The sequence below is a fragment of the Homo sapiens genome, chromosome X, assembly GCF_000001405.40.
Source record: "Homo sapiens chromosome X, GRCh38.p14 Primary Assembly".
Taxonomy (NCBI): Eukaryota; Metazoa; Chordata; class Mammalia; order Primates; family Hominidae; genus Homo; species Homo sapiens.
This window is the reverse complement of record NC_000023.11, coordinates 125,313,699-125,332,335: the sequence shown is the minus strand read 5'-3', so window position 1 is coordinate 125,332,335 and position 18,637 is coordinate 125,313,699. Positions and strand designations below refer to the sequence as shown.

At 44.9% G+C, this 18,637-nt stretch overlaps 1 protein-coding gene and 1 pseudogene across 1 annotated transcript; one reads left to right on the top strand and one right to left on the bottom strand.

Annotated features, from left to right (window-relative positions):
- FBLIM1P1 (FBLIM1 pseudogene 1) lies at positions 4,277 to 5,206 on the top strand (annotated as a pseudogene).
- Positions 7,122 to 12,465, bottom strand: TEX13C (TEX13 family member C). The gene is made up of 2 exons (NM_001195272.2): positions 9,216 to 12,465; positions 7,122 to 8,636 (listed from the first exon to the last, which is right to left on the bottom strand). The coding sequence occupies exon 1, from the start codon at positions 12,214 to 12,216 to the stop codon at positions 9,235 to 9,237; it is 2,982 nt and encodes a 993-aa protein (NP_001182201.1). The 5' UTR covers positions 12,217 to 12,465; the 3' UTR covers positions 7,122 to 8,636; positions 9,216 to 9,234.
- Between the last annotated feature and the right edge of the window lie 6,172 nt (positions 12,466 to 18,637).

The window sequence follows — 18,637 nt, the reverse complement described above, 5'->3', positions numbered from 1 at the left end:
ACTTCAGACTGATCTACTGGGAGCAAATTTGAGATGGCTGCAGACATCCAGATGTTCTGTTTGTTTGGTGGCTGGCAAACAGCCCCTTTACTTCAAATACTGCCCACTTTGGCAGACTGGTTTGTTGATTACAAAGAAAAATCCCATTAGGACCACCCCTAATAAGATGATAGTCTTTAGATTATTCAATCATTAAAACAACAAAAATAATATGTAAATCACCAAAAAGTTGAATTACCAAAGCACTGCTGAATTTTTGTCATTTATTTACAAATTCCCCTGTGAACAGGCTCTTTCTTGTCATTTATTTGCTTTGGCAGGCCACTTATCAAAACAGAGAGTCTAAAAAAGCATCCCAAATAAAATGACTGGTTCCACTAATCATGTCATCAATGGTATTATTCATTCTTACATTTCTAACCACCTTTATCACTGCTTCTGGGAAAGCAACTATACAGCATTTAGGCAGTAAGGGATCCTTTAATGTATCATAGCACAGTTTGGCACACCAAACAATAGCATAACATCCAATCATCATGAAACATTAATCCTTAAAATATTAGGTGGTCAAAATAAAATATTTATCCACAACAGTGTACATACAAATACATGAATTAATGATTTCCAGAAGCTATGTGTTTTGTGCAGTCTAAAGTCACAGCTATAAATATCAAAAGGCAACAGAAAATGGTGTCAATAAGTGAACACAAATGCCCCAATATATTGCTTTTATTTTAGTAATTTCATGCACATCTGCATTTAAATAATTTTTTAAAGGTAAAAAGAGATAATCCTACCACATCATATGTTGTTTGTTATGCTATAGAAGACAACCATATTTTCAAATACTCCTTCAGTCACTTTTTCATCATTACTAGTGGACAGTATTGATTCTATTTTGACCATATAATGTATCACAGAATATCACAAGTGCAAACAAAGATGAAGAGAAAATGAATGCTATGTGCATTTGTAAAATGCCACAGCAATTATTCATTTGTTTACTTGGTCACCTTTTCTCTGGCCAGGAGAAGCTAGGGCCTTAAGCTTCACAGAAAAGTTGGTCTGTCTTCCATTTTACATATATGAGAGACCCTATGCACACACACACAGACACACATAAGCACATTCATAAATTATTTTAATCAAACATAAAGCATTCAACCTGTAAAAGCAAACTGTAGGCAAAACAAAAGGTGAGTTACTCATTCCAATCTAGTAAAGAATGTCATATCTTTCTTTGAAAAGTGAGGAATATAACAAAGGGCCATAGAGTGAGTTTTTTTTTTTCCAAATAAAAATATGTTTGTGGGTTCTTTAAATATAATCTTAGCTCAAAGTAGCTCTATAAAGCATTCAAGTATTCCCCGGGGTGGAATATGATAATATGTGAATTCTTTAACAATGTTTTAGCTGGTCATGTAATTCATTATTATGATGAGGAAATTAAATCAACATATTCATGCTGTTTTTCTTATAAAGATAAAAGGATGTCCAGTTTGAATCATTGTCAAGTTGTCATTTTTGAGGAAAAATCTCATTACATAATCTTCACTTTCAGTGCTTGCAATCAATCTTTTACTTATAACAAATTAGGGGAGAAGTGGCTTTTCTCAGTTGAGACTTGTTTCTACATGTCTAAATATTGAGCTATTCAGGGTCATGATAAACTCCACGAAAAAGAGCTGAAGGCCTTAGACACATGTAAGACCTTTGTGTACATGGTTTTCAAGAATCAGCTTATTTAATTTAAAGCTCTGTTTCTGTGTCTCTGATAAGAGATTAGGAGAGGTTTCTGTATTTTGTAATAATCTATAATTTAAGTCCTTTAGTTACTTTTCCTATGAAATCCTTGATCAATTTAATTCTGCAATGAAAAATGTTAGGGTATGTGGTTCACTGAATACAGGATATGACCTGCAGTCGACACAAAGTAAGTTAAGAACTCAATACCCCTATCAAAATTAGTACGGAACATTCATAAGTGTATGAATATCTTTCTCACATTGCATCACTCTCATACTGACTACTCTTCTGCCTCTCACTTCCACCTTTTATACCCCTTATTATGACATTGCACCAACCCAGATTATCCAGGATAATCTCCCTATTTTAAGGATAGTTGATTAGCAATCTTAATTCTCCTTTGCCATGTGAAATAACATATTCATGTTTTCCAAGGATTAGGACACATACATCTTCAGTGACCATTATTCTGTCTACCGCACCTGCCAATAACTACATGAGTGAGCTTGGAAATGGATCTTTTCACAGTGGCGACTTCAGATGAGCTCCCAGCCCTGGCTTACAACTTTAGTGCAGCTTTGTGGGAGACCCTAAAGCAGAGGTCCCAGCTGAGCTATACCCAGATTCCTGACCCACAGAAACTGAGATAATAAATGTGCATTACTTTAACTGCTAAATTCTGGTAATTTGTTACACAGCAATAGATAACCAATACAGTACTTAAAACTATTGTTTTTATTTGCACATTTTAGCTAGGTTTTATTTTTGCATCCATTTAATTAGAAATAAATGTACCTTCTTGATTTCAGGTTGTGGAAATTACAGGTTACATTTAAGTTATTCAAACCAATAGTTGGAATGATCAATTACCATAGTGTTTATAATGAAAAGCTCCAATGTACTACCCTCACATATTAATTATATGAAATCAACAATAAAAATCACTCTTATTTTAGCTACAGACTGATCCTTAGAATCTGATTACAGTATAGGAAGATGATCAGTCAGAGAAAAAGGCATGGTAGCCTAGCCACACCACAATGCTTGCAATTATAAAGAAATTGTAGTGCATTCAACTGAAATTTTAGCTGCTGGAATCAAATTAATGTGTTGCTAGTTACATTTTCACTTCCTCCAAAATCAAGGATGTTTTCTCTTCTTTATAGAACAGGGAGCACCAAGAGATGAAATTACCATAAAAACTAAAAAGCTGATTTATCTTGCAATGTTTTTCGTTATATTCAATGGGTGATATGTGTACCAATTGGTCTGTAACTGACTCACTTAATTGGTTAAACCATGGAAATAATGAGTGAAGTTAATTGCCCTCGATAGAACGGAACTCAAGACTCTTTAGCACTATGTTCCTCTCTGCCAAATGAATACTGTTTTTTTAAATGAATCATGGATATTAACAAGCTTTGCCATTCACTAGTGAGAAACTATAAATTTGTACATGTCCATATATATGTATTTTTTGATAGCTATTCAGAGAGACTGCCTGTTTAATGCCAATCAGTTGGGTTTCACTGTTACTTCTGGGTAAGGAAGAATAATCATACAAATGGTTTTATAAACTGAAACTAGTACGTGCTAAGCATGTTTTCATATATTAATTAACACCTGTATTCTGTAGGTATAATTATTCCCATTTTATAGATGGGGAAATTGAGTCAGAGAAAGAATAAGCAACTTGCTTAATATCACATAGCTAGCAATTGCCGGTGCTAGGATCCAAAATCTGTTTATCCACTATACTACACAAGAGTTCCAAGAGTTTTAATAGTCTTAATTGTTCTAAAATTCAGATGTCTAAGTAGAAAAACTATATTTATTAGTGTTATGGATTGAATTGTGTCCCCCCGAAAAATTCATGTTGAAGTTCTAAACTCCAGTACTTTTGAATGTGACCTTATTTAATTAGTTACAATGAGCTCACTAGGGAGGCCCCTAATCCAATATGACTGCTGTTCTTATAAACAGCAGAATTTTGGACAAAGGCAGACACACACAGAGGGGAAACAATGTGAAGAGACACAGGGACAAGACAGACATTCACACCCCCAGGAGAAAGGCCTAGAACAGAGTATCCCCCCATAGCCCTCAGAAAGAACCAGCCCTGCCAATATCTTCGTTTCGGGCTTCTAGCCTTCAAACCTGTGAGGCTAAATTTCTGTTGTTTAAGCCATCCAGTCTGTGGTACTTTGTTAAGGCAGCCCTAGCAAACTAATACGATGAGTATTACTTTTTTCTAGATGGTAATAAAAATATGGAAATTTCTCTGAGAAAACTCTATCTGGCTGTCAAATGCTGAGCCTACACTGTTTTCTAGTGAATTTTTAAGTTTTATTCCAGTTGGTGGTTTCATGCATTACTTTATCGAAGCACATGAGGCAACGGTTCAAGCAAGCAACCTCCAGTTAACCAAGTCAAGGTGGTCGAATCCTATGGATGAGGGCATCGGATGGCAGCCCCCGGGCGCGGGCTGACAAGTGGAGCTGGCCTGAACTTCCGGGCCTTCGGACCTTCCAGGAGAATTGGATCCCAGCCACACCAGGAGCTGAAGCCATGGCCTCAAAGCCTGAGAAGAGTGTGGCATCGTCTGTCTTTATCACCCTTGCACCCCTGTGCCACGATTTAGCTGTGGTTGAGGAAGGGGGCAGGCGGTTTGTGAGGCCTGATGTGGCCTCCCCTGGGAGGCTCCTGCCCCCATGAAGGCACCCGGAGCTGGCTTAGCGGGAAAGCCCAGCCCCTGGGCACCCCCTGGCAGGGCTGCAGCCACAGTGCCAGCTGCACCTCTGCAGCTCTCCAATGGAGGATGCTCACCCCCTCCTCCTGTCCTGGATGGTGAGGACGCACTTCCTGACCTGGACCTCGTCCCACCCCCTCCACTGCCCCCTCCGGTGCTCCTGTCTTCTGAAGAAGAGGCTCCTGCTCCAATGGGGGCCTCACTCATTGCAGACTTAGAGCGGTTGCACCTGCCCTCGCCCCCACCCCGACCACAGGCCCCAGTGGAGGGACCTTCAGTCCAGCCTGGGCCCAGTCCCCTCGGGCCTGGGGAGGAAGAGCTTCCGCCTTCCCCAGCAGAGCCTGTTGAGAGAGAGTCGTCCACAGACATCTGTGCCTTCTGCCACAAAACCGTGTCCCCCGCAAGAGCTGGCTGTGGAGGCCATAAAGAGGCAGTACCATGCCCAGTGCTTCACGTGGCACACCTGCCACCGCCAGCTAGCTGGGCAGAGCTTCTACCAGGATGGGCGACCCCTCTGCAAACCCTGCTACCAGGACACACTGGAGAAGTGCGGCAAGTGTGGCCAGGTGGTCCGGGAGCACATCATCAGGGCCCTGGGCCAGGCCTTCCACCCCTCCTGCTTCATGTGTGTGACCTGTGCCCGGTGCATCCAGGATGAGAGCTCTGCCCTGGGCAGCCAAAACGAGATGTACTGCCTAGACGAATTCTACAAGAAATTTGCTCCCGTATGCAGCATCTGTGAGAATCCCATTATTCCTCGGGATGGGAAAGATGCCTTCAAAATCAAGTGCATGGGAAGAAACTTCCATGTAAATTGCTACAGGTGTGAGGACTGCAGGATCCTCCTGTCTGTGGAGCCCAGGAACCAAGGCTGCTACCCCCTGGACAACCATCTCTTCTGCAAGCAGTGCCACGTGAAGCAGAGTGCTGCTGGGTGCTGCTGAGAGCACCGCTGGGTGTTAGGCAGTGAGCGGACCACTAGGTCCCTTCCTGACCTGCTCTTGCACACTTTCCTTCTGAGCTTCCATGGGGACCAGCCTGTCCAGGACACAGCAGGGCTGAGCACCCCCAGACCTTCCACTCTACCCTCTGGGCACCAGAAGGCTCCTGGACCATGAGTGTCAACCCCAGAATTCCCTGCTGGCCCCAACCCTCTTCCAGGAGAAAGCTGGGGGGAGTCTGCTGGGGGCACTTGGACCCCTAGCATTGACTGTAGCTCTCTGGTAGGGGTGCTGGGACCAGTCCGGCTTGCAGGGTTGAGCCATTTGAGGAAAAACTCCAAGGTCCCTTAAAAAGTGCTTTTTAGGCTGGCCATGGTGGCTCACGCCTATAATCCAGGCACTTCGGGAGTCTGAGGCGGGCGGAGAAGCATTTTCCACATTCGATCCTGCCAACTGATGTCCCACACACAGGACATGCCCTTATTCAAGCTGCTTCTTTTGATTCTGCTTTTATATTAAAGGGTAGAAATGGAAATGGGAGTGTGAAGGCAATGCTGCTCCTGCCTAGGCTCACTAGCAGGGTATGAAGAAGTGTAGGAATGGGTGAGCAGTAAGAGAAAATATTGCTTCTCTTGTTCTGAGGCCCTCAAAGACTCTAATAGGCCTCTTCCCACTTCCCCTGCATTCACTTGCTCAGAGCAATACCCATGTTCCTCATCCATCACCACCACCTCCGTAAGTGCTTGCAAGGCAGCAGCACCAGGCCCACTCCTACCATCACTACTGGCAGCACCTGGAGTCCTTCCCCTCTTCCTCCACCACTACAATTTCTACTCTTCCTCCTGTATCATATCAGCTCTAGATTTAGACCCAGTAGGAAAAAAAAAATACCTGCACATACCCATATTCCCAAACATACAGGAGCCATTAGGATATACAAAATATTATAGTATCTGTCCCTCTCCCCAACAAAAGTTAAGGTGTTTGTTCCCCAACAGCCCCCTTCTTTTCTTGTACTCTTGTCCCAGGTAAACAAAGCCCTTACTGTTTGTCACATCTCTGAGAAAAATTTCTGGTATGGTAAGATTATTTTTGTTGTTCACCCTTTATCTCACCATACTCATTCCAAGAAGATGCCCAGATCTTTCCCCTGCCTTATCTTAGGGGAGGTTTATGCTTCCAGCCTGTATTTGGTTTTCTTTAATCCTGAACATCTTGAAAGAATTATGCTGACAGAAGAGTGACTTAGAGAACAGAAAGAAAAGAAGGAGATTTCTGCTCATGATAACTAAGCACCCCTTACTCTATGCAAAGACCCCAGAAAGAAAGCAGGGCCCCAAAGGAGAATGGGTACATGGTGCATGTAAGGAGGCTGGACCCTAGGCATCAAGGCTTCCACCATCAGCAGACATTTCCATCTCCCACTGGCCCCACAGCAGCAGAAATGCCCACCTTCAAGGTACTATGTGGACTTAGACAATGAGTGTAGGGGGGAATCATTGTCTAAGTCCACATAGTACCTTGCCCCCATTCTTGGGTAACTCCTTAGAAGAGGAGGGGCCCTCCAATAGTGAATGAGATTGAACTTTTCTTCACTTCAGTGGGATGAAGGGCAGATGCGGATTTAAGCTGCCACCTCTGAGCAAACCTGCCCTGAGATACACACTACACAGAAGACACAGCAGTCAAATGCACATTCTTTATTACTAGTTAGGCCCAGAAAATCCCTGACAAACATTGATTTTGGTGAGCTGGGTGGGATCTCATTGGGAAACTCAAGGACATCTTTAGCTTGGATTGAAGGCAGATCTAACCAACCACCCCTGGGCTCCACCCTGGCTCCTTCCTTGCCTTGCAGCAGTTGCCTTGGGTAAGCCTGCAGAGAACACACCAAAGAGGGAGAGGTGGGGGTCCTGGGGTATTCCCAAAAGTGCTTGCCCCAGTCTAGCTCTATTTTTAACCCAATTTATCCTCCCAAGAGAAACACCATCCATAACCTGGTGCCCCCAATGTTTGTCCTTGGAATCCATTTTGTTCTTCATCCACTGCTGACTGAAAAGGGACTTGGGATGGGGGCAGCCTGAGGCTGAAAGCTAGCGTGTGTAGTGAACACTCCCCAAAGCACTGTTTTTCTTCAAGACACCCCAGGTCTTTCAGGCAGGCTGGTGGGCAACCAGGAAAATAGCTATCCTTCTCAAAGGAGGAAATCAGCAGAGGAATTCAGAAAAGCTCTGCCTGCATTTTTGTGAGGACACTTTCCCAAACTTTGTCACTGCTCATTTATCTCACCTGAGACCAATGAGACAAGCAGTTTGGTTACTCAAGACCTTTCATAAGGGCTGGGCATGGTGGCTCACAGCCACTCGGGAGGCTGAGGCAGAGGATCACTTGAGCCCAGGAGTTTGAGGCTGCAGTGAGCTATGATGATCATGCCACTGCACTCCAGCCTGGGCGACAAAATGAGACCTCATTTCTCCAAAAAATTAAAAAAAACAAAAACAAAACAAAAAACCTTTCATGAAAGTCTCTTTCGCATTGGCCCCAGAACCACAGAAATGGATCTGGATGTTACTTCAATTGGTTTTATCCAAGGTCACGCTATATGCAAGGCAAAGAATACATCCCTGATCTAATGTGTATGCCAAATTATGCTCTTTCCTATCTTCTAACCGAATTCACAATAAAAGATTATGCTGTGTGTACTAGATAATAACATACAAGTCTAGCTCCCAAAACATACTAGGCAATAACTATTTCTTTAATGAATTAAATGAAATTAATTAAAGTTGCTATCAGCTATAGAATTTAACACTACAACCCCCTAAACTCTTTCCCTAAACTTCTCATTTAATGAATTAAGTGAAATTCATCAAAGTTGCTACCATCTATAGAATTTAACACTACAACTCCCCAAACTTTTCTAAGTTAATTCCCATACCAATGAAAAAATTCAACTCTACAAAAACAATTTTGTTCTCCCTTTTCCCCCTAATGAGTGTCAAATGATCTCTTCTTCCCTGACTTCCTTTCACTCTTCTTGACTGCAGCCAGTTGGGGTCTCAGTGAGGTGTGGGTCCATCAGAATTGAGGTGTTACTTCTTGTGGCTTTGGCAGATCTTCTAATGTCACAGGTTCAGCTTCTTCAGAAACAAGCAAGTTTGGTGGAGCTAAGACACAAAAACAGGACTTCACCTGTAAAACTAATAAAACAAAAATAAGCAAAAATCAACACTGCAGTAATTTCAAAAGGAATGATAGCACTTGCAAGGAAAAGCAGTGTTTCTAGAATACAATATAGCCTGGAACTCTAAAATCACATGGCTGCTCCCAGCCAAATACATGGCATTTTCAGGAAAAGGAGGTTAAGAGAAAAAAAAAAAACAGAAAATGGTTGATTTAAAACAGGCTTTATAACTATAACTTCAGCTTCTCCAGGGTGTCAACCAATTAGTATCAGCCAACCACAATCTACTACCTGAAAAAGTTGACAGCAATTAGGAGAAATCCCCTAATTAAAGACTGAGTGTTATACTCAGAAGTAGTCTCTCTTTATTCAAATAAATGAATAAAATAAGAAAATAAATACATACGTATTTGTGTGTATGTATACTCACAATGATAAAAAGTACTTAATTTGGGTAATAGGATAATGGATTATTTTATCTAATTTTCTCTACAATTTTGGTTTCAAATTTTCTGTTAAGTAAATAAGTTACTTTTTTATCAGAAGGGGGTCCTGGGAAATTGGTTTCTCTTTGGAGTGCTTCCATCTTACTTACCTTCCTGAAATCAATGAGTTTACGCTGGGTCAACGCTGCCATTCTCAACTGGCATACGGACTCTCTTGCATTTAGAGCACACCTTGTTCCGTGGAAAATTCATGGCATTACACCATGGGCAGGCCCAATTCACTGGGCTGGAGCATGAGGCAGGCTTCTGTTGCTGGGATTCTGAGGCCTTTTTCCTTTTTTGTTCCTTGACCTTCTGCCCCTGAGGCTGGTGTTTCCATGGGCTATTTTTCACACCATGGCTCTTGCTATCCTCCAGAGGGGTTACCTGGGGCCTCTCCTGATCTTCCTTCTGGCTGTGGCTCTTGCTAAACCTCAGTGAGGCTGTGCCCTGGGGAATCACTGGATGTTTCTTCAGGCTGTGGCTGTTGCTGTCCCCCAAGGAGACCACCTCCTGGTGCACCACTGGATCTTTCTTCAGGCTGTGACTGTTGCTGTCCCCTAGGGGGACCATCTCCTTGGGCATCACTAGATCTTTCTTCATGCTGTGGCTGTTGCTGTCCCCCAGGGGGACCATCTCCTCGGGCATCACTAACTCTTTCTTCAGGCTGTGGATTCTGCTGAACCCCAGGGAGGCTGTCCCCTGGGGCACCACTGGCACTTTCTTCAGGCTGTGTCTCCTGCTAAACGTCAGGGGAGCTGTGCCCTGGGGCACCACTGGATCTTTCTTCAGGCTATGGCTGTTGCTGTCCTCCAGGGGGACCATGTTCTGGGGCATCACTGGATCTTTCTTCAGGCTGTGGCTGTCCCCCAGGGGGACCATCTCCTTGGGCATCACTGGCACTTTCTTCAGGCTGTGTCTCCTGCTAAACATCAGGGGAGCTGTGCCCTGGGGCACCACTGGATCTTTCTTCAGGCTATGGCTGTTGCTGTCCCCCAGGGGGACCATCTCCTTGGGCATCACTGGCACTTTCTTCAGGCTGTGTCTCCTGCTAAACATCAGGGGAGCTGTGCCCTGGGGCACCACTGGATCTTTCTTCAGGCTATGGCTGTTGCTGTCCTCCAGGGGGACCATGTTCTGGGGCATCACTGGATCTTTCTTCAGGCTGTGGCTGTCCCCCAGGGGGACCATCTCCTTGGGCATCACTGGCACTTTCTTCAGGCTGTGTCTCCTGCTAAACATCAGGGGAGCTGTGTCCTGGGGCACCACTGGATCTTTCTTCAGGCTATGGCTGTTGCTGTCCCCCAGGGGGACCATCTCCTGGTGCATCATTGGATCTTTCTTCAGACTGTGGCTGTTGCTGTCCTCCAGGGGGATCATGTTCTGGGGCATCACTGGATCTTTCTTCAGGCTGTGGCTGTTGCTGTCCTCCAGGGGGATCATGTTCTGGGGCATCACTGGATCTTTCTTCAGGCTGTGGCTTCTGCTGTCCCCCAGGGGGACCATCTTCTGGGGCATCACTGGATCTTTCTTCATCCTGTGACTCTTGCTGTCCCCCAGGGGGACCAGCTCCTTGGGCACAACTAGATCTTTCTTCAGGCTGTGGCTGTGGCTTTCCCCCAGGGGGACCATCTCCTTGGGCATCATTGGCACTTTCTTCTGGCTGTGCCTCCTGCTATACATCAGGGGAGCTGTGCCCTGGGCCACCACTGGATCTTTCTTCAGGCTATGGCTGTTGCTGTCCCCCAGGGGGACCATCTCCTGGCACATCATTGGATCTTTCTTCAGACTGTGGCTGTTGCTGTCCCCCAGGGGGACCATCTTCTGGGGCATCACTGGATCTTTCTTCATGCTGTGGCTGTTGCTGTCCCCCAGGGAGACCATCTCCTTGTGCACAACTGGATTTTTCGTCAGGCTGTGGCTGTTGCTGTCCCCTATGGGGACAATCTCCTTGGGCACAACTGGATCTTTCTTCAGGCTGTGGCTGTTGCTGTCCCCTAGGGGGACCATCTCCTTGGGCATCACTGGTTTTTTCTCCAGGCTGTGGCTCCTGCTAAACTCTGGGGGAGCTGTGCCCTCTTGCATCACTGGATCTTTCTTCAGGCTGTGGCTGCTGCTGTCCCCTTGGGAAGTCATTCCTTGGGGACACTCAGAACCTTCCTTTTGGTTGCAGCTTCTGTTATCTCCTGGGTGATATACTCCCTGGAAATTCTCAGGATATCCATCCTGGCCATGGCACTTCTGGTCCCACGGAGGGGCCGTCTCCTCCTGGGATCCCACTGTGGCCCAAAGACCAGGTGGATAGATCCCTGCAGGAGGCATCTGTGGTGCAATTGCTGCTGCTGATTCCATTACTACTGGGGGTGGTAGAGGTGTTGAGTATGGCAGTCCCATTGGTGAAGGCATATGGAATGGGACTGGATGAGGTGCCTGCATTAGCAGAAGAGGTTGCATGCCCTGGACCCTGCCACTCTGGGGTTCAGGCATGTAATACACAGCTGTTGGGGCTGCTACCTGGGCTTCCGAATGTGGCATTCCCTGTGCCTCTGTGGCCACCGCCTCACTCTGTTCTGCATTTAAAGTCCCGGCCACAGGCCCATACTGGCCGGCTTCTGGACCGGGTACAAAATCCTGAGGCATCGGATAGACCTGCATGGATCTCTCAACTTCTAGCAGCCTCCCGCATAACCCATCACGCTCATTCAGCACCTGCTGCAGGGCGGCCTGCGTGAGGTGCAGCTGTGTTGCCACCTCCTCATGCTCCAGGCGCAGCTGCTGCAGCTGGGAAGTTAGAGCCCAGGAGGTCGCCTGGCACTCCTCCACATGCCCTTGCAGCCACCAAACCTGGTACAGCAGCTCCTCCTGCTGCCTCGCAGCCACTTGCACACTCAGCGCCAAAGCGCTCCAGGTACAGGCCCTCTTAATGGCACGGGGCACCCGCGGGTCGGCCACAATGGCCCGAAGCCGGTCCTCTACCTCGTTCCACGGCCGCGAGCGGAAGGCCGTGTAAAAGGCTGGGCTGCCGCCGTTCCTGAGGACTTCATTGTTGATGAACCTGATCACATCATCATGGCGGAACCCGCTGGCATGGTCCCCAAAGTTCATCGCCATGGCGGCTGCGGCCTAGTCAAGCAGCTGCCTCACGGTGCGTCGCCTCGGCTGCCGCCGCCGCTTCCGGTACAGGTTGCTGCCACCAACCAGTCCACCCCTCACCTCCCCTTTCAGTCTTACTTTAGTCCTTGCTCAGTCCTGGCCTCCTCCTTGGCCTCCTTCCTCCCTCACTCCCTTGTCTCACAAAGAGAGAAGCAGGTCCTCCTCGCCACACCGAACCCTATCGGCAACTCCGCGACACATCACAGAGAAAAGCTGAGTCATGCCGCAAGGCCAGCTGGGACCAGCTTCCTTTGAGAAGGCACTTCCTGAATGGAGAGTCGCCAAGCGGCTGAGCTGGGAACTGCAGCGAGCCCAGAGACGGAGAGGGAAGGGCAGGTTTTTTGGAGACAATAAAGTGGCTATTTGCACACCCGGAGTGGAATGGACCCCCAAACACACACACACACACACACACACACACACTTCTGCTCTGAAAGGGAAGGTGGGTTTGAGAGGTGACAGCATGCTAGCAGTCCTCAGAGCCCTCTCTTGCTCTCGGCACCTCCCCTGCCTGGGCTCCCACTTTGGTGGCATTTGAGGAGCCCTTCAGCCCCCCGCACTGCACTGTGGGAGCCCTTTTCTGGGCTGGCCAAGGCTGGAGCCCACTCCTTCAGCTTGCAGGGAGGTGTGGAGGGAGAGGCGTGAGCGGGAACCAGGGCTGCGTGCGGCGCTTGTGGGCCAGCTGGGGTTCCGGTGGGCGTAGGCTTGGTGGGCCCTGCACTCGGAGCAGCCAGCCAGCCCTGCTGGCCCTGGGCAATGAGGGACTTAGCACCCCGGCCAGTGGCTGCGGAGGGTGTACTGGGTCCCCCAGCAGTGCCAGCCCACCGGCGCTGCACTCGATTTCTCACTGAGCCTTAGCTGCCTTCCAGCGGGGCAGGGCTCGGGACCTGCAGCCCGCCATGCCTGAGCCTCTCACCCACTCCATGGGCTCCTGTGCAGCCCGAGCCTCCCCAACGAGCACCACCCCCTGCTCCACGGCGCCCAGTCCCATCGACCACCCAAGGGCTGAGGAATGCGAGCACACGGCGCGGGACTGGCAGGCAGCTCCACCTGCAGCCCTGGTGCGGGATCCACTAGGTGAAGCCAGCTGGGCTCCTGAGTCTGGTGGGGACGTGGAGAGTCTTTATATCTAGCTCAGGGATTGTAAATACACCAATCAGCACCCTGTGTTTAGCTCAAGGTTTGTGAGTGCACCAATCGACACTCTATATCTAGCTGCTCGGGTGAGGACGTGGAGAACCTTTATGTCTAGCTCAGGGATTGTAAATACACCAATTGACACTCTGTATCTAGCTGCTCTGGTGAGGACGTGGAGAACCTTTATGTCTAGCTCAAGGATTGTAAATACACCAATCGGCACTCTGTATCTAGCTCAAGGTTTGTAAACACACCAATCAGCACCCTGTGTTTAGCTCAGGGTTTGTGAGTGCACCAATCGACACTCTGTATCTAGCTGCTCTGGTGGGGCCTTGGAGAACCTGTGTGTGGAAACTCTGTATCTAACTAATCTGATGGGGATGTGGAGAACCTTTGTGTCTAGCTCAGGGATTGTAAACACCAATCAGCACCCTGACAAAACAGGCCACTGGGCTCTACCAATCAGCAGGATGTGGGTGGGGCCAGATAAGAGAATAAAAGCAGGCTGCCAGAGCCAGCAGTGGCAACCCGCTCGGGTCCCCTTCCACACTGTGGAAGCTTTGTTCTTTTGCTCTTTGCCATAAATCTTGCTACTGCTCACTCTTTGGGTCCACGCTGCTTTTATGAGCTGTAACACTTACCGCGAAGGTCTGCAGCTTCACTCCTGAGCCAGCGAGACCACGAACCCACCAGAAGGAAGAAACTCCGAACACATCTGAACATCAGAAGGGACAGACTCCAGACGCGCCACCTTAAGAGCTGTAACACTCACCGCAAGGGTCCGCGGCTTCATTCTTGAAGTCAGTGAGACCAAGAACCCACAAATTCTGGACACAGGTGAAAGGAGCTCAGAGACCTTCTGGGTGGGGTTTGGAGACTGGAGGAGTAGGGGGATGTAGGTGTAGATGGAAGAAAATAAAGTTGCAAGGCTCTCAGTTCAGGGAAGTGAATAGGGTACAAGCTGGTGGAGCAGATGCCCTTGTTGGGCCAACAGTGGGAACCAGGCTCAGTTGTATGCCCTGTACATGAGTGAAGTGAGAGGCTGGCAGCTGTTAGAGGGATTACAAGATTCAAACCACAGGTGAAGGCTAACCAGGGACACTAGAAAAAGCACCACTACCATGGCTGAGTAGATAAGGCAGGAAGGGAAGTCAGACCAAGATGTTCTGGAAAGACAGGGAGCTATCAAAAACAGGAGGCCGCTACTAGGATGCATGACCTAATTCGGTGAACAGGAGAAGACATTTCAGAACTTAGCCTGGTCAACCTAAAAGGAAGAAACTGAAGCAAAGTTAATATAAGTAGTGAGTTTATTTGGGCCAAGTTTGAGGATTGTAATGTCAGAGTATAAATTTAAGTTGTCCTAAATATATACCCCAATTGACAGTTACAAGTATTTTTTTAAGAGAGCGTTCCTTAGTTATTTATTAAAAATTTACATTAAAATAGCATAAACTATTAATTGGCTATACATTATTATTTGTATTACAAATTTTAAAAACATAAAGATATTGGGTAAGACAACTTGTCAAAAACAAAATGACTTTAAATAATTGCCCACAGATACGGACACAGAGGATATGATTAAAGTCCCATACTCATGTCCCTCTGGGACTATATACCTCACTTAGTTCAGACTGCTGTAACATATTTTTGTTTCCTCAGCATCCTGAGATAGAATGCTCTGATGAATGATGAGAAAATGTGTGTGAACATGTGTGAGAAAAGTGAATACTAGTAATGATGTTGGATCTCAGATGTTTCTGAGGGCTTTCAAGAGGATACCAAAAGCCATATGAATAAATTTTCTATTACGGTGTGGGGGAAGGAAGGCTGCTGTTTGCCTGTTTGCTCAGTTCCTTCTCTTATACTTCTCAGTAGCCATACTGTCTTCAAGCCTCCTTCATAGTTCCTGCCTCACTCACTCTCACAGGAAGGATTTTTCTCTTTTTCAACTTTAAAACTAAATTCTTCACCTGTGGTTTGGATACCAGCCTCTCCCATCTCCTCGGGGAGTTTGATCCATTCATAGCGCTCCATTCTCTTATCTGTTTCAGCCTCTTCCTCTTCACTGGCTCCTTCCCATCACAGTAAGAGCATGTTCAAGTTTCTTTCCCCACCCAATAGTACAAGTTTCTTTTAACTTGACCTTTCTGTAGACTTTGACTCTTTCAACCAATCCCTTTTTGAAATTCAGTCCTCTCTTTTCTTCTGTGACACCAAACTCTACTGATTTTCTTCCCCTCTAGCTGCTCCTTCCTAGTTTCTTTATGCTGCTTGCTGTGCTTTCATTCACCTTTTAAATACCGGTGTCTTCCTGAGTTTTGTCCTAAGATCCCTCAGACCTCAGACACCCTGCCTTATTCCAGAGACTCTCTCTGTGTGATCTCATCTATTCTCTTGTTATAAGCTATCATCATTAATTGCTAAAGATTTCCAAAACTTTATGTCTAGTCATGCTTTGACCCTCAAACTTGAGACTCACCTAGCCAAAAACCTCCTACAAACTTTCACATGGATCTTGCATAAGAGCCGTATTCTCCACAAGTCCTAAACTCATCAATACTATTTTGGACAAATAGCTTGTCAGGTTTCTTAACATTTCTGAGGATCCACTTCCTTAAAGAGCTGTTGCAAAGATGAAATAAGAACATATATGTAAATACTATTTTTGTCATCACCCATATTACTATTAAATAAAATGAGACTTAAACTGGAATTTGAACAATGGGTAGAATTTAGATGAGGACAGTGAGGAGAAAAATGAACCTGAAATTGATAAAAGATGTTTCTCTATTATTTACCAATTGGCTGGTTGGCCAAGATTTGTACCAGGTCACCCTGTTCTGCCATATCCAGTTGAATTATATTTCTCAATTCATTGGACAACTGCCTCTTGCGGTTTCATTCCATTATGATTTTAGAAGCTGGTATCTGGTCCCCCACCTACCTGCCTTCTATTTTTCAGCTATTTCCATGGATGCTCTTTGCTAGAGCTACACATCTGACACCAGCAAGGAGACACCATGTGTGTGCTGGCATTTGTGATATTTCCAGGATCTATGTTGGCTTCTGGGTACTGAAGGCATCATCTGCCTCTGATTAGAAATGAAACATAATTTCTGTATTTGGAATATACAGAAATATGAAAACACATATTAGGAGGATATAATTTATGAGGGTAAATGATTTTGTATATAATAATAATAATAATATCTTCTTAGTTTAGCAATGGAAAAATTTAATGTGACTCAGAAATATGTTTAAAAACTTAATGTATTTATCACTCTATATGGATAAACAGATAACAGCTTTCCCTGAAAATAATATTTTCATACTTGGACGGTTCAACTTGCCAAGTGTTGAATAAATAGAAGGAGCAGAACTGTTTTTCTAGACATATAAAAAGGCACTCAGGTGTAAGAGAAGCAGTTATCAATATTGCCAGCTCTAATTTTCAAATTGGCACTAATCATTGTTGCGTATTAAGTGAAGGTAGAAATGATTTCCTATAAACTAACGCTAAAGTTGCTCACCGATTCTTTTCTATAGTCTTTTGTGTATTCATCTTATAAACAATAATAATGGTGCTAATAAAAAGTTTTTCTTCTGACCTTTTTATACAGTAATAAATAATGAATACCTTCTTAGCACTTACAATGTGCTAGGCCCTGTGGATACTTTGTGTGTATTATCTTATGCAATCATCACCACAACCGTGTGAGTTAAGTAACAGTATTACTTCCATTTTTGGAATAAGTAAATTGGGGCTTAAGAGAGTGAAATAACATTTACAAGGACCCACAGCTAGCGTTTTAATTCTAGGAAGCCAGAATTAATATCTTATTAAAATCCATGGTCTTAAAATTAAACTCTACAGCCAGAATGGCACATTTCCTCATAACTCTGAGACTCAAACTAACAGAATCAACATATTGTAGACATGATAATACATGTGCAAAACTTATACTGAACAAAAATGTCTTTTAATCCAAAGCCAAGAAGAACAAAACTTGCCTATAACCTATTAGGTAGCCCAAATGTATCTAAAAAATGGGTCAAAAGAAGAGGAGTGATCAATTTGAAACATAGAAAACAGGAATCAGAGAGTACAAATTGAAACTGATATTACGAACCTTTCCAACATAAAAGATGTTCTAGCCAATGAATAAGAACATTCCAGTCCTCTAGCCAGATCTATACCTGTAGTGATAGACGCATTAAGCCACAAAAGTTCCATGACAAATATCTATGAAAATCACTCAAGCAAAATCCCAGTTTTTCTCATTCCATGTTGACCTATGCGCCCTGATAATTATATGTTCCAGTATAACTTATAATTATGGAGGAAACTCAGTGATCATTATCCTACTTGCTGCAGTCTTTTTGACAGTTATGTTTATTGAAAAAGAAAAACGAGATAACACTCAGATTTATACATTGATCCCTTTTGTATTAAACTGCTACAAGCTACTCTCTGAGAGACTGGTATCATTTAAGTATCTGACCAAATTGAGCATCTTACTTATGAAACTGAGGAGCATAACCTGGAATGGGGTGCCCACACTAAGGTACATCTACCCTAGGAGACAACTCTATGTCATGATTCACAAAGTCACAGGTTTACTTCCTTGACCTAGACTGATCAAGGTAATCATTATAATTTCAGAGAGGATCACATATATGATGTTATTTGTAACAGTTCTCATTTGTTTGAAGGCCCTTCAAAATAGTTGAAATTACAGATAGAGGTATACCTCAGAGATACTGTGGGTCTGGTTCCAGACCACCAAAATAAAGTGAATATCACAATAAAGCAAATTACACAAATTTTTTGTTGCCCTGTCCATATAAAAGTTATGTTTATAATATGCTGTAGTCTATTAAGTGTGCAATAGCATTGTATAAAGCAATGTGTAGACCCTAATAAAAAATGCTTATTGCTAAAAAAAAAAAATGCTGACAATCATCTGAGCCTTCAGTGAGTAATACCCTTTTTGCCAGTGGATGGTATTGCCTCAGCATTGGTGATGGCTAACTGATCAGGGTGGTGGTTGCTGAAGGGTGGGGTGCCTAGGGAAATTTCTTAAAATAAGACAATAATAAAGTTTGCCACATGAATTGACCTTTCCTTTCATGAAAGATTTCTCTGTAGCATGCAGTGATTTTTGATAGCATTTTACCCACAGTAGAACTTCTTTCAAAATTGGAGTCAATCCTTCTAATCTTGCTGCTGCTTTAT